Genomic DNA, 25,389 nt, shown 5'->3' with positions numbered 1-25,389 from the left:
GTGCATTGAGCAACTACTGTGTGTCCAGTACTATGCTGGATGCCCAGGACACGGGACAGACCAGCAACAGATATGTCATCTCACTGTGGTAGGTGCTCCATCAGGAGGCCCCAGGGCATCACACAGCACATCTGAGGGGCACAAAACCCACCCTGGGCATCGTGGAAGGCCATTTGGAGGCAATGTCTATGCTGGATGGTAACGACGAATGGGAGGATATAAGTGCATGTGTCTTGGGAGAGAGAGTGAGGCATGTTCAGGGAGCTGCAAATGGACTCTGGCTGTAGTCAAGATGCGAGCAGAGGAGCACAGAGGTGATGCTGGGGAGAGGCGTGGACTCATGTCCTGGAGGAGGGCGGGGTGTGGGGCCTTTGTCTGCCAGCACAATGTTCCCTGGGAGAACATTCCTTCGCCTAGTCATCCTGGGGAGGTGGTCAGCCAGGTTGCCCACACCCACACCCACACAGCCACAAACAACAGGCATGTGACGCAGCCTGGGGCAGTCAGTGTTGCCTGCTCCTAGACCCTGGGGTTGAGTTAGGAATTAGCATGTGACCCACATAGGATCTTTAAGTCTTCCCTGGGACTGCTACATGGGAGCCGTGGAGAGAAGCTCACTGCCGAGACTGTGTCTGGGGCTGCTGGCTGCCATCTAGCCAGTTGCGTAGGGCGAGGCTAGACATGGAGGAAAAGCCATGCAGAGACACACGGAGCCCAGGGGTGGTGCAGAGGAGATCCCCTAGATCCAAAGATGCCTAAAGGTGGACCTGCCTTTAATTTTCACTTAAAGAGGACATCCTTTTATTGTGGGTACTCAAAGTACCCACTAACGCAAAGAGGTACATCAGGGTTTCAAGCTGGGAATGATATGGTCAGAAGCTACAGCAATGCTGCTGGTGTCCTGCCCATGTGCCCTCCCTTTTACAACTCCAGGAGTGGTGTTACTTACCTGGGAGTGACAGGTAAGGAACACCTCCTAAGAGCAGCCTTCAACCAATGACTAGGGAAGTTGGTACATAAATACCCCAGCTCCCTCCTGCTCAGCCATGCTCCACACTGGCTCTCCAAGATCCCCAGCAGGACTGTGTTCTTGTCCCTCCTGAAGGAGCTGACTTGATAAGGCATCCTCTGCTGACTGCCTTCCCTTTCCTGTCCCCATTCCATACTCTCCCACCTTCACCTCCCAGATAAACTACTCGCATTTGAATCCTTGTTTCAGGGCCTGCTTGTGGGGAACCTTGCATTAAGATGCCCATGAAGACCTCACACTGACACACATCTTCTCAAGGTCTGCAGGGGCTTTGGCCTGGACAGGAGCTGTTGGGCAGCCAGGTAGACACCTGGACCCTTGGCGGCCCGGAGCATCTATCGTAAGAGTACAGCAGGGGCCCTGGAGGCCAGCAGTCAAGACTTACCCCTGATGCTCGAGGTGGTCCTACACACTCAGCTCTGTCACACAGTGTCCCCACCCTCTCCTAGCAGCTGGAGCTGTCCCACCCACTCCCAAGATAAGGGCCAGCAGGGCATGGAGCCTGAGTCAGGAGACCGGAGCCCTGCCCAGCTCTGTCATCGGCTCTCCGTGTAACCCCTGACAAATATTCAACCTCTCTGGGCCTCAGTCCCTTCATCTCTAAAAAGAAGCAGCTAGACCCGATAATATTAAGGTCCCTAACAGCTAATGATTCTAAATCTGAAAAAATTCAAGTGGAGAGAGAGGTTGGGAACAAATGCCAAGAAGTTTGAACCAGTTCCTTGGGGCAAGAAGGAGGCAAAGGCCAGGCTGGAAAGATGAGGCGCGCTGCAAAGGCAGAGCCCTGCCTTGTTCTCCCCCAGCACAGGCACAGGGCCTGGCAGGCACTGGGTAAATATTTGCTGGATGTACAAATTGACAAGCAAGGGAGATCAGTAGCACCCGGGGGTGGGGAGGTTTCATGCTGGTCTGAACCTCCCAGCGGCTGTCTGCTTCTTGATCCCTGCTGCCTCAGCATGGCAGGAAGTCCAGCTGGAAGCATCCGCCAGCCTCGGGAATGGCCTCTGCCTCTAACTGCCTCCTCACAGACACGGCCAGGAAAAAGTCCAGCAGGAATGGTGCAGCATCATGGGAGCCCTCCTGTGTGCCTGTCGCTACAAGGTAATAAGTTCCTTGAACAGGAAGGTTGTTTTGCAGAGAGCTGGGGGACTGCTTACTCAGGTACCCCCAGGGCAGGAAAGTTGGGGAGGAATCAGAGAGGAGGAGGTCAATACCAAATGCATTCCAGAAACGATGCAGTGTGGAACGCTGCTCTGTCCCCTCCTCTGTCCCCCTACATGGCCCTTCACCCGCACAGGTCTCCTTCCCGCCTGCTAATTATCTGCTGCATAAACCACTCTTGCCCAGAGCCTCCATCCGTGGGCTCTAGGGCTATTTTCAACATTCATCAAGCTTCATGAAATGTGCCAGCTGCAAGCCTGGTCCACAGGCATGAACAGAGGACACTGGCTTCCCTCTCTGCTGCTTCCACCCAGGAAGGGAGAGTGGCCCAGGGGACAGTCGTGCTCTTAGGGTCTTAGGAAAGTCTAGACTTTCAGCTGCTGTAATGTCTGGGGTTCTACTTGGAGACAGGGCATGGCCAAGAGGACAGCTTCAAGACCAAGACCCTGGGGCAGGTCTCAGTCCTGTGAAGACTCTTGGAGAGGCTGCCTCCAGTACCCAGGTTGCCGGTCCCCCGACTCCCTGACTCGTGAGGGCTCAGGACCCCACTTATGATTTCTTCATAAGTCTCCAAGATGTAAATCCTCCTCATAAGTATTTATGATGCTGCAGATTTAACATAATAAAACACTTGGCGATTATGGATAAGCCAGTCGGGAAAGCCACGGTTCTCCAGGAGGGGAGAAAAGGAGACTTTTCAATCTCGCACATTAAATAAAAAACAGCTTAGCCCCAGACCATCTTCCCACAGCCTGGAAACAGATGGAGGCCTCAGAGGATGTTCCTGCATTGCCCTTGCCCCCTCTCCTAGAGCCTAGGAGGAGCAGGGGCAGGCCAGGGGTGGGCTAATTCCCTCTGAGAATGTCCTGTAACTGCTGAGCCATCTGCCGGGACCCAATCTCAGAGGGTAGCTGGCCTGGGGGCCCACATCTCACTGGAGACAGACCCAGCCCTTCTTAACCACCCCCTTCCATCGCAGCAGCCTGAATCCCGGAGAGACAGGGCTCTCACTAGAAGGATCTTGGGAGTGGTTCTGCCTGCAGGGGCAGGGGTGGGTGCAAAGCTGGGGAACTAGGATGTAGGTGGCTCAGGGGTTCCAAGCACAGATGTAGGGTGAGAAGGTCCCAGTTCAAATCCTGACTCCTCCCTTTCATTCTAGCCAAGGCTGGAGTGCAGTGACGTGACCATAGCTCACTGCAGACTTGAACTCCTCGGCTCAAGCGATCCTCCTGCCTCAGCCTACTGAGTAGCTGGGACTACATGCATGTGTCACCGTGCCAGGCTAATTTTTTAAAAATTTATTTTTGTAGAAACAGTATCTTGCTATAGTGCCCAGCGTTCTCTCAAACTCCTGGGCTCAAGCAATCCTCCTGACTTGGCCTCCCAAAGTGCTGAGATTACAGGTTTGAGCCACTGCACTCCGCCTGGCTCCATCCTTAATGGCCACCTTCCCTTGGGCCAGTCACCTCCATGAGCCTGTTTTCCCATCTCAAACCAGGGTCACAGCAGTTTCCAGCTCTTAGGCTGCCGTGAGGGTTAAAAGAGATAATGCATCTGCAGGATATAATGCTCAGAAGTGCTACTGTTAATTGGCTAGCATTCTCTCACAGCCCAGAGGCTGGACGTTCCCTGCCACTCCTGACCCATGGCCCAGGAGTACTTTCAGCCTGTGGGACCTCCAGACCACTGAAGAGGCAACAGGCAGACTCAGCTGTCCCATGGTGCCCCTGTGGTCTCCTGATTTCCACCTGGAAAATGAGGCAATGTCACAGCCTCCCTCCTGGGTTGCAGTGCAGCCTAAGGGACATGACAAGGGGTGATCGAGGCATTACACTCTTGCTATAGTTCAGATGGTGATTCTGGAACTGGAAGGGGCTGGGAGCTCTCTCTAGGCTATCTGGGCTGGACAAACAGCCCCACATCCTCTGGGCGGGCTGAGCGAGTAGACAGATAAAACCATAAGTGAGCCAAGGGCTCCCCCCACCACGGCTGTCTCCCCTCTTCCTCGCCTCCTGCTCCTGCCTGCACTGGCTCTCAACACACCCTCTCTCCTGCGAGGCGCAGCCGGGACCCCTGCTCTGCCCTCCTCTACTCTCCTCCTGGGGTGGCGGTCTCCGCAGGCTGTGCCCCCTCTGCTAGGACACTGACTATGGCCCTAGCTTCGAAGGCAGGAGTGAGGCCTGTGAAGGCCAGTTGGCTGGTGAGAGGGGCTGCAACGCCCCTCTCCTTCTCATTCTTCCAGACTGCACTTTGGTTTGGAGAAGGGTGCAAATTCCATTGGGAGGTGGGATCTATGTCCCCTTGAAATGAAGGGGGCTTTGTGACTGCCCAAACCAGTCAAGTGTGGCAAAAGTGACAGCACATGACTTCCAAGACCAGGTTGTAAAAACCACGCAGCCTCTCCCTTGTTCTCAGCCACTGGGTAAGCCATCCTATTACCCTGAGGCTGACATGTGACACTACAAAGAGAGAAGAGAGAGAGAGAGGGGATATGAATGGCTGCAGCTCCAGCTGCCATCTGACTGCAACTGCAGGAGAGAGTATGACAGCTGAACCTCGATAACCCCCAGAACATGAGAAGTACTCATGACTTGTATTGTTTTAAGCCACTATGCTTTGGGATCATATTATGTAACAGATAACTGCAATATCCCCATGACATAATATGTTTGGAAAGACTGATCTATTCAGGCTCAGCATGTAAAAGACACTCGTGGTGCCCTCTCTCCTCTTGCACCCAGAGCAGACATCACTAATCAATCCCAGCACCCTCCCTGAAGCCAGACCTGCCTTAGAATCTTGTCCAGCTAGAGATCTGGCAGTCACTACAAATTGATTAGAACTGGGCAAAACAGATTTGCTATCAGTGACCTCAGGTTTTAGTAGGCCATGGCGAACAGCAGCCCAGGTTTCTGGACCGACCATAACATAGCCATTGATATCATTTAGTGGCAGCTTAGGAGAAATGCAGGCAAAGTAGCTAGGGCTATTGTCTTTGTAAACTCAAATTGAGAATTTGAGCCAGCAAGTCACCCACGGGGGTCTATGGACATGCTAATTTGCCCAGCTAGCTCCTGAATAACTCCTTCCCAGGCATATCCAGATGGAGCCTCTCGTGGCCCTTACCATTACAATGTTGGAACTTCCCCCGTGAGCCCTCTTGGGAGTGGTTGACACAGGAGCTGGTGTTACCAGCTTAGCACTGAACAGTCAGGTGACCCATTCTGGGCCACAGACTTGCAGACTGACAGGATCCCTGAGAAGAGAAGGGAGGAAGACCCCTGCATCCCCACACACTTCCCACTGGCTGCTGCCACAATGTCACAGCGATGTCACAGTATGTGGCTGGAGAGTGACAGCCCAGCTCCCTGGGGGCATCACCAGGGATCTGATCTGACTTCTCACTCTTCATGCATAAATCTGAGCTGCTGCATCCTACTTTGGTGACCACCACTTAAGTAGGCAGAAAAAAAGCAGCTGCAGGCAAGAGGGGAGTAGAGGAGGCAGGAGACCAAGGCAGAGGCCTGAGAGAGGGAAGAGAGTCGCCTACCTGTTGACAAGCAGGAAGTTGGCCACCAGGCACAGCATGGAGGGCACGGTGGAGGCAACGGCAAGGTAGCTCTCAAAGTAGTTCTGCAAGCACACAAGTGAGGAGGTGCTGCGGTCACTCAGGGATGGAGGTGAGCAGTTCCACGCGAGCAGAGACAGGGCCCCTCTCTGTGGGGCTTCTCCCCACTGTCTTCAGACACCCAGGAGCCGTGGGTGAGCCCACCTCCAAACAAGGCCCCACCCCATCTCCAGCCTAAGACCGCTCACTCAGCCACTCAACAAATAGCTGCCAATGTCAGCTGTACTAAGTGCTAGAGGCATAGGAAGGATAAGTCGTTCCTGTCCCCAGTGAGGCCCTTGGTGCTGTGCAGCCCACACTTCTGCCCATGGACTGAGGCCATGGGGACAGAACTCAGTGTTATGTCTGAAAAGAAAAGTTTGACCTATCAGCCTTCTTGGCCTATCACCAAAATGCAAGACTATCCACGTTTTTGTTTTTAAGTTTTTAGTAGAGACGAGGTCTTGCTATGTTGCCCAGGCTGGTCTCAAACTCCTGAGCTCAAGTGATCCTCTCGCCTTGGCCCCGCAAAGTGCTGGTATTACAGGCATGAGGCACCGCTCGCTTGGGTTTTCTTGTGACCCAACCACATTCTCGCTTTCTTGCCACAAAGTGACCTCTTAGATATACAAGAGGCCCTGCTCCCTACAGGGAAACTCTGTTCTCACTCTGGATTTTCTCTCTTGATAGAGCAGCTACAGAAGGTCAAAGCCATTTGGGGAAGTAGCTCCTAGATTGCACAGAATGAGGAAAAAGGGCATTTTCTGGCAGCAGCTCAGGGGTGTGACAAAGAACTGTGCAAACACAGACAGATGAATTGCCTGATTATGATGTGCTGGAACTCACAGCTAAAGCAGCTGTGTGGCAGCTGTATGTGTCTGTGAAAACTCAAAGAATGTCCAGTCATTAGGATGGACTGTACTATGTGTGCATTATCTCTTAATATACCTATCTTTAAAAACAAAACAAGGCTGGGCATGGTGACTCATACTTGTAATCCCAGCATTTTGGGAGGCCAAGGTGGGAGGATGGCTTGAACCCAGGAGACCACCCTGGGCAAATAGTGAGACTCTGTCTCTACAAAAAATAAAAAAATTAGTCGGGCATGGTGGTATGCACCTGTAAGTCCCAGCTACTCAGAAGGCTGAGGCAGGGGGATTGCTGGAGCAAGGAGTTCGAGGCTGCAGTGAGTAAACCACTGCACTTTAGCCTGGGCAACAGAGTGAGACCCCATCTCTAAAAAATAACAGAAAGAAAGATGTCATGGGCCCCTTTGAGTCTGAAGCACAAGCCTTCCATAGTTCCCTTTGAAGCCTGCAGAGTGCTTTGTGGTCTTTGAAATCTGTACCCTGAATATAAGGCTGTGGTGGCCTTGCAATTAAAATGATAATCGCAGCTAGTGAGGTCCGTCAACCATGAGCCTGAGAAATAGCCTTTGAGCTGCACCTCATTGTTCCTGCCCTGATGGGCTCAGTAGAGCCTGGACTGGTCGGGGGCACTCAGTCAATTACATCTTGACACAGTGGCTGGGCCTCTGAGGCTGGGAGGACACTGAGTAGAATGAAGGAGAGAGGCCCTTAGGAGGAGAGGGCTGCAGATGGGGCTGCGTCTGCCCCCAGCCCAAGCCCCGGTGAGGCCCCTTCATCCAGTGGCTGCTCGATCTGTGTAATGCAGAATCTCTGATGATTTTGTTTCTTCGAGCAGGCTCAGGTTCCCTGAATGAGAATTTTTCAGGTAACTGAATGTGCCTGTTTGTTGATATTGAAGCAGTAAAAGGTATCATTTAATGTTGAAAAGCTTTTTGGATATTGACCACTGGATAAGACTCTGAGTCTCTTTCTGTTGTCTGGGCCCATTTCTCTGCCTTACAAAGAACTCAGAGAACAGACTTGAGGCCAGGCCATCATTCCATGAGCACAGATCAGGAGATGGAGATGCACATGGTGACAGGAGTTGACTCAGCACATCCCACAGAATTTATAAAAACAAACCACTTAATTCCTGATAGAAACACATGGTGGGTTGTATTCAATTATTTGCTGCTTTTGCCTATAGGAAAAGTTCTAAAATGAGGTGTGGTGGCAGACTCTAAGGTGGCCCGTGATCCGTGCCTCCTGATGCTCACACCTGTGCGATGCCCTCCCCTGAGTGTGGATGAGACCTGTGGCTGCTTCCAACCGAGAGAGTAGAGCAAACATGAGGTGTTACATAGGACTGTAGCACCCACATTGCTGGACTCTTTTCCTCCCTTGCCAGATTTGGGGAGGCAAGTGGCCATGTTGGGGAACCCTACCTGGCATGGAACCCCAAGTTGCTGAGGGCGGTCTCCAGCCCTCTCCCCACAAGAAACTGAAGCTCTCAGGCCTACAACCACTAGGAACTGAATTCTGCCAACAACTGGAGTGGGCTTGGAAGTGACCTTTCTCCAGCTAAGCCTCAGAGGAGACTGTAGCTCTGGCTGACTGATTGCAGCCTTGTGCAAATTCAGGCAGGAGACCCAGCTAAGCTGTGCCTGGACTTCTGGCCCACAGAAACCCTGTAATTATAAATCCAGGTTGTTTTAAGCCACTCATTTGTAGTATTTTGCTAGGCAGAGATAGATTCCTAATTCATGAGGGTTTCCGATAGCTGGGTTCCTACTAATCAGGGTTTTCCTGAATATTTCAGCCTTCCTGTTTCAATTTAAATTCAGTTCCTTGAAGAAAACCAGGACAGTTGATCATGTTCCTTTCTTTGACCCCCCAAGAGACAGGAGGAGCAGTGTGCTCACCCATGAGGGGCACAGAGGGTTAGCACACCAGTCCCTGCAGCCCTTCCCCACCAAACCCTCTGCTGAAATTAGGGTTTTTGCAGGTGGCATGTGCTGATTTCAAGAAACGGACTTAGTGGATGTTGCTCCAGACGGACTTACCCTGCCTGCCCCTCAGGTAACTCACCTTGGTCCCCTGTCCACAGCCATTGGTCCCATGGTCATAAAATCACTGCCACTGCTGCCACCACTGCCACCAAAGGAGGAGCTGACCCCCACAGAGAGACCCCACGCCCTGCTAGGCTGCACCAGTGGCTGTGAGAGGGGTGGGGGACGCTCCCCTGAGGATGGGGGAGTCAAGCCCCGTGAGACCCACTTTAACCAATGAGAGGCAGGAGCTGGAAGGAGCCCACAGATCGTTCGCCCGCCTCTCCTCTCCCCAGACTGGCTGCTCTGAACGTGGTGGCTCCACAAGACTTTTCCAAGGTGTTCCGTGTGTGCTGCTGCAAAGCTGTGGCCGCTCCAAAATACCATCGCCCATTGTGTTTGCTCTCTGTGTCCCAGCCCTACTTCCCTTTCCCTCCCTCTTACTTCCCTGGACCGCACTCCCTGATGGAGTATTCCCACCAGCACTGCCTTCCTAAGAAACCAGCGGCGAAGGTCTACGTTCCACTCTTGATTATTTACTTTGTAGCCAGGCAGCTGGCATGTCCCTCCTGGGTTCATCTCATTTGCTTCCAAGAGGTGTTGGGGCTATCTTCTCCCATTTTACTTACGGAAATGTGAAAACATTTGAATACAGCTCCAAACTCACTGTGACTAGGATGGTAACAAGACTGCCCCCAAAGCAATCCATCCATCTAATGAATGGGGGATTTTATGTACAGCAGTGTTTGGGGATCGTTCACAGAGTTCACCTCCACTGGGGCCTGATTCCTGAGAGCTCCCTCAAAAGTCTGTTTTGATTTGTTCTACCCCTACAACCAACTCCACTTCTAGAGATGAGCACATGGACCCAAAGGCCAGCTCCAGCCATAGAGGAGTTGGGGGATGAGAAGATCGTCAGGGAGCTGGCAGTGGGGCCACTGTGTATGATGGTGGAGGTTGAACTTTGCACAACTCCAGGGGCACCAGACCTGTAGGCTTGTGATAGGAATGGCGCCACTCAGAATTATGCCACAGCAGCTCTGTTTACATAGCTGACTAAAAGCCTGGAGGCCTGGGGGTCAATGTGGGCCTTATAGAACCAGAGGTGAAAGGCTGGGTATGACTCAGCAAGAAGGCAGGGCTGGAACGCAGGTGGATGCAGGGCAAAGACATTAGGAGGTGACAGGCCTCCCAAGCAAGTTTCTCTGCCCCAGCAGGAGGGCCCTGGGCAGGAGACCCTTAGGCTGGTTAGTAATCTCATGGTGCTCAGCCCTGGCTGGGCAGCCACTTCTGTGCAGGTCAGCACCTCTTCCTGTTTTGACCTGTCCCTTTGTTTGCTGAAGAGGTGTCAAGCCCGTGTGCCAGTGCTGTGCTGGTGGCTGGGTGGATACAACGGAGGAGCTGTGGCACCTGCGTGCCCTCGGGGAGGTGGACGCAAGCCTGGAGCTGGAGTACAACAGATACAAAGTGTTGGGGGGCATGGAAGGAGGGGCTCTGGGGGGTTTCCACCAGGGCCATCTTGGACGGCAGCTGGAAAGATTGGGGGAAGCATGTCAGACAGATATGGCAGGTATGGGTGCCAGTGGGGAGAGAAACATTCCCAACAGGACAGAACGGCTGGCACAAAAGCATGAAGGGATGCTTCCCCACCAGTGAGGATGCCAGCGCAGCTCATCTGTTGAAAGCAACCTGAGGCTTCCTTAGCACCAACAGCCCCTCCTGAGCTGAAGCAAACCACACTGTGTTGTCCATCCCATCCACAGGAGGGCTGGCAGAACCTCAAGCAGCCAAGGCACTCAACCCCCAGAGCGCTAATGGCAGAGAGGCCCATCAGTCACCTCTGAATTCTCAAACCCACGTGGGAGAGGCCCAGCTCTGAGGAACAGAGGGATAGCTGTGCTCCCTGAATGTGAGATCTGATCTCCCTGCGCACCACTATCTCCCTAGCGTTATCTGCACCCTGCAATGACCTGGAGCTCAGGCAGGGTGTGGGACTCAACATCCAGTCTCTAAGTAATCGCATCAAAGTCAGTTAACCCAGGTGGGGAAGTGGGAGCTCTGCAGAATGCCAGGGAACTCTGACATGCAAGCAGCACAGCTTCCAGAGGGCCTGCACACACCCCAGCCCATGTGCTCTTACCACAGCCAGTGAGGGCGAGGCAGGGCTGGAATCGCTCTCATTTTACAGATAAGCAGCCTGAGGCTCACAGAGGTAGAGGAATTTCCCAGAGGTACACAGAGGTCCACATTGGGAGTGCTGGTGGCAGCATCTTTTGCTGCAGAGCAGGGCAGAGACCGGGTGGAGACATATTTATCATCCCCCTACAAATGTATAAGCTGCTCTAGCTGAGGTTGTCTGTCTCCTGGAGGCACAAGCCCAAACACTATCACTGGGGTCGCGGTGCATCACCAGGAAGCCTCAGATGCTGGGCCTGGCAGCCACATGCCTTCCAGCAGCAAGCAGGAATGTGAGACACGTTCCTCTCAGGGAGGGCAGTGTCTTTCTTCTACCTGGCCCTAAGGTGCAGGTGACCTGCCCAAGCCAGCAAATGACAGAGTTTGATTTTTTTTTCTTTTTTTTCGAGACAGAGTCTCGCTCTGTCGCTCAGGCTGGAGTGCAGTGGCATGATCCTGGCTGACTGCAACCTCCGCCTCCTGGGTTCAAGCAATTCTCCCACCTCAGCCTCCCGAGTAGCTGGGATTACAGGCGTACAATACCACACGCAGCTAATTTTGTATTTTTAGTAGAGACAGTGTTTCACCATGTTAGCCAGGATGGTCTTGAGCTCCCGACCTCAGGTGATCCACCTGCTTTGACCTCCCAAAGTGTTGGGATTACAGGTGCTGAGCCATGGTGCCCGGCCAGGGTTTGATTTCTTTCTCCTCTTTCTGCAGTGGTAGACAAGAGTAAAGGAATACATTAGCTAATCTTTTCTCTCAAATCCCACCGCCCATTCCCCTCAGCATTTCCAGAGGCCTATGGGTCTTCGTAGTTTTAAAAAGAAAAGAAAAGAAAAAGATTAAGAGAAAAGCCCCCACCTCTGTCAGTTACCCAAAATTGACGGACATGGTTGGCAGCTAAGCAAAGACCATGTTAAAGAGTGTCTGTGGGTGGGCAGCATGGGGCAGGCTTCCAAGCTCTCGCCTTACTCTGCAACCCCTGCAAAGAGCCCCAGAGTGGGCATGGGGGCCTCACCCAGACTGGCCCAGGGTGGGCATGGGGGTTCCTCACCCAGACTGTGGACAGGCCCTGGCCCAGGGGTGCCAGGCGCCAGGGTACCCCCATATGGTGGGTGAATGTGGATGAGCCACTGCTGGCCTGGGCAGGGGGGCACTTGAGTTGCTCGCTATGGTGAGAAGGAAACTCATTTCCATTTGCTACACTGACCCAGTTTGCGAACACCAGGAAAGGGGAGAGATGCTCTTCAAACACAATTTAAAAGCCCACCAGAGCCAGCTGGCCAGATGTGAGGCCCATTTTATGACGGGCCACATTTCCTCTCCTCCGCCACACTGAGAGGCTCCGTGCTAAGGGTCTCTTCTGGAAGAATTCAATTCCAGGCTCAGAGTCCAGGTAAAGAGGTTTCTTCGGGCAGGGAGGCCCCGAAATGAGCCCGTTTATCTCTGGCAGACCCTGGTTAAGCTTTCTCTTCCCTGAATGCCATTTGGGCACTTTGAAATAAGTGCAGCAAATTAGTCACGAGCTGCGGCAGACTCAGTGTCCGTGCTGCTGAGTGGCTTCTGCGAGGCAGCTTTGTGCAGCCCCCACCTCCAGGAAGCAGCAGCAGAGGCAGCTGGGCTCCTACCGGGCGGGCGAGGAAAAGCGATTCAAGCCTGGGGGTGGCAGCTCAAGGCAGCAGAGCGTTACCTGGATCACAGGGGCATGAAATTAGCAGCAGCGAGCAGGTTGGAGCCAAGAATAGTTTGCCATTGCAAACTTGCCGCTTTCGGATAGCTGAGTTCTGCGGCCTGGGATATTGCAGGGGAGGTGCCCTTGCCCTGGGCATCAGCCCAGATCATTCCTGAGCAAAATGAGGTGAGCAGAGGGCAGATGTCCCCATAAGGGGTGGGGCTGGTAACCTTTCTGCAAGTTCCAAGGCCCTGTGTTTGGAGCACTGGCTCAGGAAAGATAATGGGTGTGTGGCCAAGGGCAGGGACCAGCTGGGAGGGCTGGCTGGGCAGGGAAGGGGGGCAATGCCTGTTCCAGGGGCCAGGCAGGAGGCTAGATGCAGCCAGGCTGAAGGGGAGGCCAGAGGCCCAAGGGAAGGACAAATCTGGGGTCAGAATCAGACAGGTAAGCTCTGGAAAATGCTGGCCAGACAGACGAAGCCACTGTGGCCACCCTAAGGAAGAGGGTCCCCATCTGACCCTTGCATGCAACCGTCCCTCCTTTGGCCTCTCATGACAGCTCCAGGCCTGGGCTCACTGTAAATCTTGCTCTCTGAGCACCCCGGGGCTCTCCCCAGCCTTCAATCCTTTCTCACACCTCCTCAGGAATCCCTGCTGGACGATGAGCAAAGTTCCTGTCTTCTGGAATGAGCTTCCCCGCCTTCCTCCTTGCAGTGTGTGCAAGGCTTTCTGGAGCACACCTCCTTTCCACTCCGCAAAAAGGGCTCTTCCTCCAGCCTAAGCTGACTTCCTGGAGACTCACACCATGAATCCCACCTTTCTTGCCTGCATTTTCTCTTTCCCTCACTGCTGCTTGTTCCTTTCTCTGCTGGCCAAGAGACTCTCTTAGGTCTCCCTTTGGGTAAAGAAAAAAAAACTACTTTAACTTTGCTGCCTCCAGGAACCAGGCCCCTCCTCCCCTTCACTCCACACTCCTTGAAAATGTAGTCCATGTTGCCACTGCCAAAGCCGTGTCCCTCCCGGCTGCCCTGGGGAAACATTTCCTCTAAGGGTCCTCAGCGTCCTCCTCGCAGCCCACCTGTAACCAAGGCCTGGTCTTGTTCCTCACAATCCAGACACTGCATGCTACCCCGTCTAGAGGGGGCTGAATTCATGCCCCCAAAATTCATGTCTACCCAGAACCTCAGGATGTGACTTATCTGGACATAGGGTCTTTGCAGACATGCTTAGTTAAGAGGAGATCCTACTGGAGGAGGAATGACCCCTCAATCCACAGTATACGGGAAAAGAGGGAAGGACACACAGACACACAGGCAGAGGCTGCGTGAAGACAGAGCCACAGACTGCAGTGATGCTGCCATGAGCCAAAAAATGCCAAAGCAGCAGCAAGGAAATGTTATTCCCTAGAGCCTTGCTTTTCAGCTACCCAGTTTGTGGTACTTGGTGAAGGCAGCCACAAGAAACTAATGCAATGTCCTTCCAGCACTCCTCTCCTCCAGATTCACAAGGACACACCCGCCCCCACCTCCACACTTCCTCATCATCTCTGTCCACCTCTGGCTCCCTCCACCATCCCAAGGTGCCCCCTGAGCTCCATCCTTCGTTTCCTGCCCTCCTTTTGTAAGGGTGGGGGTGGTGGTAGGAGAAGCTCACCTCCCCTGGCTTCATGACCTCTACCCATACATCCGTCTCTTCATCCAGAACAACCGCTTGGGGGTCCTGCTGAGCCCAAACCCCAAGCTCCTCAAATCAAAGGCCTTCAAGAGAAGACTCCCAAGCAGCCCCTCTGAAGGCCCCATGGTCATCCTCCTTTTCTCAGCCCCTCTTCAAAGCTTCCTTGGTTTCTCCTTCACCCTCACCCCAGTCAATCACATCTACTGGCCCCGTCTCCACATCACCTGACTATGGCTCACGTGTCCACCCAGTCTCCCCTCGGGTTCTAGCCTCTCCCCCAGGCATCCCCTCCACGCCTTTGCTCAAGTTCCTCCCTGGGCCTGGCCACCCTCAGCCTCTGCGCCTTATAAATCAGCCTCCCTGTGACTGCCACGCCCCTCCTCCTTGCAGCCTCGCTTCCAGGCCCCTCCTGCACCTTGCTGCATTGTCCCCTCGCTTGGCTCCTTTGCCGGAAACCTTGGGGGCTCCACTTGGAGAAATGATGGGGCGCGTGGAGGCAAGGGTGGCTGAGGGCCGATTCGCGGGTGGTCTCAGGCAGCTGCCTAAAGAGGGGTTTTGTTTTGGAAGGTACTGGGGAGCTCTGGGGGCTTCTCAACGCCAAACAGTATGGGGGGCAGTGCTGGGTGTAGAAGGAATCACCTGGCAGAAATGGGTGGAGGGAGCAGATGGGAAGAAGCAGGTAGCAGTGGTTAATTTATTCATTCATCTATTCACTCACTAAAGGTGAAAGGCAGTTGACCTTCTAGAGCTCATTCACTCATTCAACAAATGATGGCCAAGCAGCTTGTATGTGCTCAATGTGTTCTAGGGGCTGGGAATGCCAGTGTTCTAGGGAGGGAGGCACAAAAAAAAAAAAAAAGAAAAAAAAAGAGTCAACAGCAAGTGGGGGGAAAAAAGACTGCAAATTAGGATAAATGCAATAAAACTAAAATACAAATAATTGGCTAACCTAGAGCCTGGACAGAGGGAACAGCGTACGGTTGGCCCTGAGTCGGGAATGAGCTTGATGTGCTCAAGCCTCCACAGGGGTGAGCTGGAGTATGAATGGGGATGGGGGGAGGCTGGGGCCCAGGCAGGTCCGGGTGTGCAGGCTGTGGTGGAGGTGCACTGCGGGATCACGGTGCACAATCCAGCGATGGCGGTTCTTCCTCCTGTCCCTGTCTCCTCTCCACAAATACTCAGAGATGGATTCATCCTTCTGCAAATATTTACTGAGCTCGCTAGATGTTGTAGACATGGGAGATTCAGCTCAAGTTCCTGCCTTTATGGAACTGCCCATCTAGTCAAAGAGATGGCTAGCAAATGCATAAACAAATAGATAATAGGCCAGGCAGTGGTCAGTGATATGAAGACAAATTCAGCAGGGTAGGTACCACTATAATAGATCACAGAACTGGGAAAGAGCTGTAAGTGAGTGTTCCCAGTCCAGAGGTTAGCAGCGGGTTACCCCCGGGCCAAATCTGCCCTCTTCCTTTGTGTGAACACTGGAACGCGGTCGGCCTTCGGTCAGCCCATTTGTTTACATGTTGTCAAGGGCAGCTTTCACTCTGCAAGGGCAGGGCTGAGTAGCAAACAGAGACTGTGGGGCCCACAAAGCCTAAAATACGAACCATCTGGCCCTTTGCGGGAAAAGTTTCTGGGTCCCAATCTACGGTCTCATATCTTCATTCCTCAAAGGAGGACATGGTCTCAAGTCACCCAGCAAGTTTGAAACACAGTCAGAAACAGAAGCCAGCTCTCCTGAATCCAGAGTCTTTCTGCCAGGCAGGGTGAGCAAGGAAGATGGAAACCTCATTTCTACCTACCTTTATACCCTGCCTCGGCCAAGCCTTCGCAAGGTCCCCTAGCAAGGGGCAAGCTGACTGCTCTGATTCTTATCCCCTTTATTCCCCTCATGTACTCTCAGGCTGTAACCAGAATAGGCAGAGTAAGGGCTCAGAAACCAAGGGGTCAGAGAAACAGGGAACCTCACGGATCCATGCACGAGTGACCCCAAGCTCCCTGAGGATGAGCTGATCAGAGGCTCAGCCACTGCTGATGCTCGGGCCAGCCAGTCTTTCCTCTTCTGCAGCCTGACTTCTGCCATGTGATAGGGAAAAGAGGAAGAAGGCCTTTCAAGAAAACACCCCACCTACTCTTGCCTGACCGGGCAGGCTTCTGCATCCCCCAGAGGGTCCCGTGCATCAGTGTCACAAGGCTGATGACCAGGGACAAGGGCCATGCCCTGTGGCCTGGTGGTAATGAGGAGGTGGTCTGGGGGTGCTCCAGCCTCTCTCTGTAGTAGAAAACCTTAGGGACCATCAGGAAGAGGGAGTCCTTAGCCAACCCCTGGCAGGCACTTCCTCAACAACAGACTGCTCCCGCCTTGGGAAGGCTGTTTCTCTTTGGAGGTGCATGTGGGCAGAAACCACAGGCTGCTCTAGGCCTCAGGTGCCTGCATGCAGACAGGCACAGACGTGCACAGAAACACAGGCACATAGGGAGAAACAGCAGCTGTCCTCTGCCTCCACTAGAGTACTCATTAACCCATTAAACAGGCAAAGGCTGTTACACAGTCCTCCCAGGCAGTGAGGACCGGCAAGAGGCCAGCAAGGAGGTCCCAGGCACCCAGTGCTGCAGACCCTTCCCAGGCTGCCTGCCTGTGTCAAAAGCGCTGGGCTCCTTGGTGGAGACTCTAATTTAGGTTCCGCTCTCTGGACACTTGTGATATCAATCATGTTAAAGAGACACTGGAGCACTTAAGGTCCAGGCCATCTTCTAATTTGTCCAGGAAATCGCCTCTGGATTTTAAGGATATATGCAGGAAGAAATAAAATCGAAGGCAGAGAGGGAGCAGTCAATAGCCTGGAGGGCAAGGGAGCGCAGCGCGGGTGGGGAAGAAGGGTCGTGAGCACTTAGGGAGAAAATAAGAAGAGAACTAGAGAAGCTGAGGCCACCAAAGGCATGACTGACAGCGTTTCAAACTAGGCTTTTTTCCCCTCTGCAGGATGCAGCAAGAGCTAAAAACAGAAGAAAAAGCCATCACAGGTGTATTATTTATTGGGAATGGCACGCTGGCTGGGCCCGCAGTTAGAATCAGAGGGTGGACAAGGGGATTTTAAAAAATGACTCACTTTTGGTTCTAATTTTTAAAAATGGTGTAGAGCAGTCATCCACGCCAGCCAAAGCAACTGGCAGCCACTCATGCACACCCAGTGGCAGAAAGCCTGAAGCCCATGCTGCCTGACCTCAGACTCCCCATCTCTTTTCCTAGGATGACAAAGCTCAGGCAAAATCCCACTTTAATACACTTCTTTCTATGCGGGGAGGAGGGGTGTTGTGCCCTTCTCCACTCTTGGGAATTCTGCTCTTAAACATTGGATTGCTGGTAGGGTGCAGTGGTTCACGCCTGTAATCCCAGCACTTTGAGAGGCCAAGGTGGGCGGATCACTTGAGGTCAGGAGTTCAAGACCAACCTGGCCAACATGGTGAAACCCCATCTCTACCAAAAATACAAAAATTAGCCAGGTGTGGTGGCGGGCGCCTGTAATCCCAGCTACTCAGGAGGCTGAGGCAGCAGAATCACTTGAACCCGGGAGGCAGAGTGAACCCAGGAGCCAAGATCGCACTACTGCACTCCAACCTCGGCGATACAATAAGAATGTGTCTCAAAAAAAAAAAAAAGAAAAAAAAGAAAAAGAAAAGAGAAGAAAAAAGAAAAAAAGAATAAAAGAGGATTGCAAAGGGAGTCTAAACATTGTTTCCATTTGGAGAGAGATCTGAGTAGCACTAAAACGGTTCTGCAGGAACACCACCTGGCACAAAGGAGAGACTCCTAGATACCTGCTCCCCTGGCCAGCTGGCAACAGGACCACCTGGCAACAGTGCCCAGGCCTCACCCAGGGAGATAAAGCCATCAGGGAAGGGTCTAGGAATCCGGGTATTTGGCAAGTGTCCCAGGAAATCTGATACTGATTCAGGTACCCTGGGCTGCCACCCCCCTTCTTATTAGCTATGTGGCACCAACGAGTTACTTACTGTCTCTACTTTCCTCCTCTGTGGAATGAGGACATGACGCATCCTCATAGATGGCTACAAAGTTAGGGGAAACAGGCAGAGCAGGGTTTTTCAAACTACAGGTTGCACAGCTCATTAAAGAATATGAAATTCATTTGATGGGTCACGACCAGAATTTTATTTTATTCTATTTAATCCTTTGTTGCCTTCTTTCTTACTAAAGGTGAGTGAGCTGTCTGCATCTTTTTCTGGAACCCTTCTCTGTGCACCTGAGCCCTCTGGCCTGCTCATGGACCTCGCTGAGCTATGCTCCCTCTTCTTCATCATGCGTTTTTCCTTCTCTGCTGGATCATTTGCTTCCACACACAAACTGCCTGCTATGTCTCTCGTATTAAAAATAAAAGAACAGAAAATTCTCCCCCTTCTGAATCACAGTTCCCTGCAGCTTGTGCCTCATTGTCCTGCTCCCATTTAAAGCAAAATTCCTTGAGTTTGCTGTCTCCTCTGTCTCTCCCCCCATCCTCCACGATGCTGCTCCCCAAGGTCACCATGAACCTGCACAAGGTCAAACTCAAGGACAAACTTTCCATCCTCATCCTGCATGGCTTACAACCAGCACTGCCACTGTTGCATCACTTGCTCCTCCTTGAAACTGCAGTCAGAGTGGAGTTTTCTTTTTTTAAGTACAGACGCAGCTTCATGAAACTGTTGTTTGCATTATAGACACAAATATCTTGCCAGGTGAGACAGCCATCATGCTCCAAAAAATTTCGAAAATGCTGATATAAAGCACTGGGGTTAAGATCACGGATACCTGGGTTGACAGGGCCCAGGTCTGAGTCCCAGTCATCACTTACTTTGTACCTGGGAGCAAATGACTTAAACTTTTCAACCTTGGTTTCCTTCTCTGTATAATGGGTATAATAAACCTATGTCTTTGGGCTGTAAAAAAAAAACAAACAAAAGATCATGAAAAAAAAAGCTTCTAGTACACAGTAGATTGCTTAATAAATATTGCTGAGTTAATGAATGAATCTGTGCCCTTAGCAGTGCCTGGCACATGGTAAGAGCTTAGTAAAGGCAGCGAATGTTGGGATTTAGTGAAGTCCTCATGCAGGAGCCACCATCTATAAGGCACACCATAACTGTCAGGACTTTCCACCCTACCTGTGTCTGCAGCGTTATGTAAATGCTGCCAGGTGGGTCTGTGGGCAAAAGGCCCAAGGGCGACAGAGCATGCCTCCAACCCACACAGTGGGTAAGGGCACTGCTAGACTAGAGTCCCTCTGTTGCCAAATCTGGGTTCCTCCCAGCTACCTTGTGGTCCTATGAGACAGGACCAATCCACCTTTCACCTAGCTGTGGAGCCTTTACCAAATAGATATCCTGTGACTTTTAAACCTCTGGGAACAGGGAGCCTCCACTCCCTGACACAGCACAGAGAGGTTACCCAGCTGGGTCAGGGCCTCAGGACTGCCTCTCTTCTGCTCTCCCAGTTTCACTTGCTCTTGCTTTGTGCCACCCCAGGTGTAGGATGCCCATGTTGAGCCCAGTTGGCCCTATCACTCCTTTTCCAGGAGCCTGGGAAATTGGAAGGAAGAGGAGGGTGGCTGTGGAGCCCCCATCTCCTAACTATATCCCTTGGCCCCCTGGCCCAGCAAAGGGGAGCATTACCAAGAGAAAGGGCAAAGGCTCTTCCAGGGGCCACCACTGGCTGGCGTGGAACTGTGGGCTTGCGGGTGGAGCTCAAGCCCAGAGCATTTCCGTTAGACAAGCACCGAACCCTCCAACCACCTACATTTGTAGGGAGTCCCATGAGGAACCCCACACTCGAGGTAGACTAGGCCAACTCCTTAGACTTCCCACAGGATGTGGCCCTAATTCTCCAAGGGGGAAACTGTCCCCTTCACTGCCAGGTTTGACAACTCGACTTGCATGGCAGGAAGTTCTCCCAGAAGGCTCACCTAAGTCTCTCATGATGTAGCCTTTGCCTGTTTAATGGGTTAATGGGTACTCTAGTGGAGGCAGAGGACAGCTGCTTTTTCTCCCTATGTGGTAACATTTTACTTGAATCATAGTCCTTTTTGTTTTGAGACTGGTGTTTCACTATGTTGCCAAGTCTGAACTCGAACTCCTGGGCTCAAGCTCACTGTTCTGTTCTCCCACCTCAGCCTCCTGAGTAGCTGGAACTACAGGCACACGCGACCACACCTGGCTTGGATCACGGTTCTTATCTGGCTACACATTAGCCTTATCTAGAGAACTTAAAATGCTTGTGCCCAGGCCCCTCAGAATGAATTAGAATTGGGTGAGTGGAACACGTGGGATGTGGGGTATTTTCTTTTCTTTTTTTTTTTTTTTTGAGACAGAGTCTTGCTCTGTTGCCCAGGCTGGAGTGCAGTGCCACGATCATGGCTCACTGCAGCCTCTGCCTCCCAGGTTCCAACGAATCTCCTGCCTCAGCCTCCTGGGTAGCTGGGATTACAGGCACACGCAGGTGGGGTATTTTCTAAAAGCTTCCCAGGTGATCCCGATGTGCAGCCAGGGCTGAGCGTGCCAAGGTAGACAGATAGCTTGGAGAACACGCTGGTTATAAGCATGGGCTCTGCAGTTCTATCACTTGCTAGCAAATAACCTTGGGTCAGTGGCCTAAAATCTGTGAGCCTTGGTTTCATTTGGCAACTGGAATGGCAGCACCTAGCTCACCAGGATGTCATGTGGAAAAAGAAGATGGCAGGTCAAGCGGGAGGTGGGTACAGGCTGCATGGCAGGGACTTGGTAACCTCTGATAACCTGTCCTCCAGTATCCTCTTCTCCACACAAGCTCATCCTGCTTCCTTTGAACACTTCCTCCTTGGATTGGGAGGTCAGCCCTTCAAGGGCAGATCCCAAGTATGCTATCTTGCTTCTTTGCAGGGCTGAGAGACTGGACCAGAACTAAGGAACTGGAAATAAGGGGAGGGGATGCCCTAGGTCCCCCACTTGCTGAACCAGGACAACCTGGCTACCTTCCCTATGGCAGGAACCCCACTTCATGTCTATGCCAACACACCTGAAAGATCAAAACTCCTTTACTGGTAGCCACTGTGACTCCCAGATCTTCTTCTGCTCCCTTGCAGAGCCATGGCATCACTATCATGGATTGGGTTGTGGAGCTTTCCTTCTCAGACTTACAATAACTAATGTGACAAATATTTATGTGCTATTATGTGTTGGGTGTCATGCCAGGTGTACCAGGGGCATAGGATGTAGAGTAAGAGAGTTTTATTCACCAGCGGGGGAGGCCTCCTCATCTGTCATGGTGGATGATAACAGTTCCTGACCTACGGGTGCTGCAGCGCTGCATGAGATAATGCAGGCAAAGTGCTGAGAGCAGGAGCTCCCACCCAGCCAGCGCTCGGTCTCCATGAGCTGTAGGGCAGGAACGTGATGGGGAAGTATGATGCAGCTCTGAAGACCCAGGCATGGAGCCCCTAACTCAGAGAGGTGGCTTCAGGGGACGTGCCCAGGGATGAGCTGCTTCTGTCTCCTGCCTCACCCCTGGGACTGAGTGTTGGGGTACCTCCTGGTCAGATGGGGGGATGGACAGGGGCATCAGTAGAGTGCCTAGCCCGGGTCCCAGCCCTGCTGACACTAAGTCGGGCTGTAGGTCCCACTCATGACCTGGCCGCATCCTGCAGTCCCTCAGAGAGGAGTCCCTGGGCAGACCGAGGTACACAGGAAGGAAGGTGTAGAGAGCGGCTGTGGGGGCCTTGCAGCAAGGAATGGCCAGGAGAAGGTGCAGACACTCTTCTCTCCGGGGTAGGAAGTAGGGCTTGTCCAGCTCACTGTTTTGTTCTTGGCCAAGGGCAGCCAATACAGGCCTGCAGGAGAGCCTGGGGGAGGGCAAGGAGGCCCCACAGGGCAGGGGATGGCTTACAACCCCAGAGCCGGGGAGGACCTCCAGCTAAACAGGTCAGGTAGGGAAGGGACAAGGGACGCTGGGTCCAGGACCCAGGTGTAGAACCCAGGCACCTGGGGTTTCAGGCTGGAAAAGGAGGCCAGACCAGGGGCAGGCTCTCCAAAGGAAGGAAGATGGTGTTTGGTGGAGTCAAAGTGTGGGGGTGGGGGGTGGGGAATCTCCAGGATAGTACCCTACATACCACTCTCTGAGTATGAATGAGTCTGTAATCATCTGTCCACCTCAATGCCCCGTGAAATTCCCTATAGCCCTTCCTAGCTGTGTAATCTCAGGCAGGTTACCTAGCCTCTCTGAGCCTCTGGCTTTTTGTCTTAAGAAAATGGTTACTAAGATCTGCATTGCAGGGCTGAGAAACAACACATGCAATACCCCTGCCAGGATGGTGGGCCCAGAGTCGGGCTCAGGCAATGGCGGCTGTTGCAGGCCCCTGTGCCATCTTCTCTTATCAATTCTTCCTCATTTATGCTCTAAATTTTGTTTTGCCCTGGGCCAATACACCTGTGATATATTTATTGGAGGTTCTTATTCCAGAGAATAGAGACAGGAGGGCAGAGTGAGCAGGATACTTTCTAAGCCATCCCCACATTTGTCCAGGCAGAAGGAAATGAGCCCGCTGACCTTGAAAGTGACATAATTTGGGGGAGAGGGTGTCTGGGTAAACCTTCCTCCTGGGTCAAGCTCCCCATCAAATGGCATCCATCCCCAGAAAATGTTCAAAGGAAAGTACAGGAAAGAATAAACATCTAGACCCACAGCTAATTGAGTTGCAGGTGGTGGCTAGAGACAGGCCAATTTGACTCTCCCCCTCCTTCCCCTAAAGTGGCCCTCAGGTGACAGGGCAGACGGGCAGCCTCTCACAGGGAAATCAGGAAGAGAGGAGGAAAGAGCTGGGGAGGTGGGTGGCTGGGATGAGGAATGAGGCAAAGAGAAATGGCCCGCAAAATGCAGAAATGCCTCAGCATGCTCGCTTCCCAATCCCGGCCCATGAATCGAGGGGTGACAGGTCTCTCATCTCCGATGCCAAGAGCCAGGAGCTCCGGGCAGCTGAAGGTACTACATCTGCACCTGCCAGCAGTTGGAGAGAGGCCATAAAGCATCGTAGCAGGGCTCAGAATGCCAAGTGCCTGCAGCTGGGAAGGGATCGCCTTGCGGTGAAAGCAGTACACGAGGCGAGGGCTGCTCCCAGAGCCAGGCCTGGACACCCCTCCCTCCAGAGGCTGCTTGATCCCGGGGACCTGGCAGTGGACAGAGGAGGGGCAGGGCAGGTGCACACGCAATCTAGCTCTGTGCCGGCCGAGACAGGCAGGGACCTTCTGGAGGAAGCCCAGTAGGCCAGGTGATTTACCACGGCTGGCAGAAAGCTGGGACGTTGGAGTCACTGGTAAATAAAAGCGGATTGTAAAGCACCCCGGCTAAGCCTGCGCCTGTGGAAATGCACCAGGGCTGCAGGCAGCTTAGAAGTATGGGCCCATCCCTCAAATGATCATCACAATAATAGTGTTTATAAAGCACTTCAGATAGGGGTGCCAGGCCCTGTCCTAAGTGCTTTTTAATACATATTAATTTACTTAATCCTCACAACAGCCCTAAGAAGTTGGTGGTGGTATTATAATATCTTCCTTTAACATACCAGAAAGATGGCCGGGTGTGGTGGCTCATGCCTGTAACCCCAGCACTTTGGGAGGCTGAGGCGGGCGGATCTCTTGAGCCCAGGAGTTTGAGACCAGCCTGGGCAACATAGTGAGACCCTGTCTCTACCAAAAATACAAAAAAACTGGTCAGGCATGGTGGTGTGTGCCTGTAGTCTCAGCTACTCAGGAGGCTGAGGCAAGAGCATCACTTGAGCCCAGGGAGGTTGAGGCTGCAGTGAGCCTTGACTGCACCACTGCACTCCAGCCTGGGTGACAGTGCAAGACCCTGTCTCAAAAAAAAAAAAAAAAAAAGTACTAATATAGTCCAGAAATATGAGGCAGCATGGAGAGTTCACACAGCCAAGCCCTGTCCAGTGCACCACAAACTCTACTGTGCCCTTCAGTCACCCGAGGGGCTTGGTAGCTCGAAGGCCCTGTCTCAATTGGCCTCGAGTGGGTGGGAGACTGCATCACTAACAAGCTCCCAGGTGAGGCTGCTGGTCCAAGGACACACCTTGAGTTGAGGGGCTGTAAACTACTCTGCGGCGTTCCTGTGGCACTTCCTCAGCTGTAGAAATGGTTTATATCCCATTGCTCTGGCCCTGGGAGGCATCTGTGAATTCCTCAGTTAACAGAAAAGGCCCTCACAGGTGTCAGATCATGGGGGGAGTTGAGGGGTGGAGTACAGGAGTGTGGAAGTGTGAAGTTGTAAACATATCAATGTTCACACCCCAGCTCAGGCTAATCCAGTCAGAATCCCTGGGGCGTGGCCCGCATTGGTATTTTTATTCCTTTTCATCGGACGGGTAATGTGCCGATGACATAACAAGGTTTGAGGGAGGCCCATCTCACACATGTGCGTGGAAACCCAGTCATCACACTCATGAACTACAAAAGGACTCTGGACTGGTATTTTTTAAGAAGCTGCCTGGGTGACCCACATGTGTAGCTGCAGTGAGTCCTTGAGATGGACAACAGGGATGCCTCCCTCACTATGGCAGATTCATGCCTATAAAACTGAGGACAGCTCCTCAGGGCGAGGCCAAGGATTTCCTTCTGGGAAGCAGTGATGAGCCACCTCCTGGGCCACTGGAAGGTGCGGCTGGGGTGCTAGCATACCCCCTTCTTGTTTCTGATGCTCCCCTGGAGAAGAAGGGCACAGCTGGGCAGCTGGCAACATCTCATCTCGGCATTTGTCGGAGAAGCCCTTGCCTCCCCGTGCTCTCAAGTGAGATCAGACACCAGCCTGGGGCAGCCGTGGAAACGGAGGCTCCTGACCAAGACTCTCATTGACCTAACTTTCGTCAGGCTCCTCTGAGCCCCATCCTCGACCTTGGCCCGACCCCCCAGTCCTGACTTCTGCCTGCCCAACTCAGTCTTAGCCAAGAATCCTTCAAAGTCAGATTAGCCAGCATCCCCCCACCTTTGAGATCTGATCAAGTTCCTCATTCCCCACCTCTGATGTATAGCTGTCCCTCCATATACTCAGGGCATTGGTCCAGGACTCCCACCTATACCCAAATCCACACATACTCAGGTCCCTAGCCAGCCTTGTGGAACCCAGCTCTCCCTGTAATCAGGTTT

General features: G+C 52.7%; 1 protein-coding gene, 1 long non-coding RNA gene and 1 other non-coding gene across 10 annotated transcripts in view, besides 5 other annotated features; 1 reads left to right on the top strand and 2 right to left on the bottom strand.

Annotated features, from left to right (window-relative positions):
- The window catches only part of SLC29A3 (solute carrier family 29 member 3), a 62,165-nt gene that overhangs the window by 31,391 nt on the left and 5,385 nt on the right, over positions 1-25,389 (bottom strand). For 5 of the 7 annotated variants that reach the window (XM_047425425.1, XM_047425424.1, NM_001363518.2 and 2 more), the window contains exon 3: positions 5,742-5,824. The exons of the other annotated variants lie outside the window; for them this stretch is intronic. In XM_047425425.1, coding sequence (XP_047281381.1) covers positions 5,742-5,824 — 83 coding nt within the window. The remainder of the gene's footprint in view (positions 1-5,741; positions 5,825-25,389) is intronic. 7 annotated transcript variants of the gene reach the window in all.
- On the top strand, positions 1,966-9,360 carry LOC105378353 (uncharacterized). Of its 2 annotated transcripts, XR_946051.3 has the most exons (3): positions 1,966-2,131; positions 8,652-8,725; positions 8,991-9,360. It is a non-coding gene; the product is annotated as an uncharacterized LOC105378353 (long non-coding RNA). The 2 variants fall into 2 exon arrangements; XR_001747496.2 differs by having other exon boundaries at positions 8,652-9,360.
- Positions 3,680-4,385: an enhancer, noted in NCBI's record as "H3K27ac-H3K4me1 hESC enhancer chr10:73105405-73106110 (GRCh37/hg19 assembly coordinates)". NCBI's record gives its function as "activates a minimal SCP1, AML or CMV promoter by ChIP-STARR-seq in naive H9 embryonic stem cells {active_cell/tissue: H9 hESC(naive)}" and the evidence as "EXISTENCE:reporter gene assay evidence [ECO:0000049][PMID:30033119]".
- Positions 5,092-5,797: an enhancer, noted in NCBI's record as "OCT4-NANOG-H3K27ac-H3K4me1 hESC enhancer chr10:73103993-73104698 (GRCh37/hg19 assembly coordinates)". NCBI's record gives its function as "activates a minimal SCP1, AML or CMV promoter by ChIP-STARR-seq in naive H9 embryonic stem cells {active_cell/tissue: H9 hESC(naive)}" and the evidence as "EXISTENCE:reporter gene assay evidence [ECO:0000049][PMID:30033119]".
- Positions 21,356-21,931: an enhancer, noted in NCBI's record as "H3K27ac-H3K4me1 hESC enhancer chr10:73087859-73088434 (GRCh37/hg19 assembly coordinates)". NCBI's record gives its function as "activates a minimal SCP1, AML or CMV promoter by ChIP-STARR-seq in naive H9 embryonic stem cells {active_cell/tissue: H9 hESC(naive)}" and the evidence as "EXISTENCE:reporter gene assay evidence [ECO:0000049][PMID:30033119]".
- Positions 21,932-22,507: an enhancer, noted in NCBI's record as "H3K27ac-H3K4me1 hESC enhancer chr10:73087283-73087858 (GRCh37/hg19 assembly coordinates)". NCBI's record gives its function as "activates a minimal SCP1, AML or CMV promoter by ChIP-STARR-seq in naive H9 embryonic stem cells {active_cell/tissue: H9 hESC(naive)}" and the evidence as "EXISTENCE:reporter gene assay evidence [ECO:0000049][PMID:30033119]".
- Positions 22,888-23,387: an enhancer, noted in NCBI's record as "H3K4me1 hESC enhancer chr10:73086403-73086902 (GRCh37/hg19 assembly coordinates)". NCBI's record gives its function as "activates a minimal SCP1, AML or CMV promoter by ChIP-STARR-seq in primed H9 embryonic stem cells {active_cell/tissue: H9 hESC(primed)}" and the evidence as "EXISTENCE:reporter gene assay evidence [ECO:0000049][PMID:30033119]".
- Positions 24,602-24,705, bottom strand: LOC124902574 (small nucleolar RNA U13). The gene has a single exon (XR_007062407.1). It is a non-coding gene; the product is annotated as a small nucleolar RNA U13 (small nucleolar RNA).

The sequence above is a fragment of the Homo sapiens genome, chromosome 10, assembly GCF_000001405.40.
Source record: "Homo sapiens chromosome 10, GRCh38.p14 Primary Assembly".
Taxonomy (NCBI): domain Eukaryota; kingdom Metazoa; phylum Chordata; class Mammalia; order Primates; family Hominidae; genus Homo; species Homo sapiens.
Note: the sequence above shows the minus strand (reverse complement) of the source record. Positions and strands in the feature narration are given on the sequence as shown.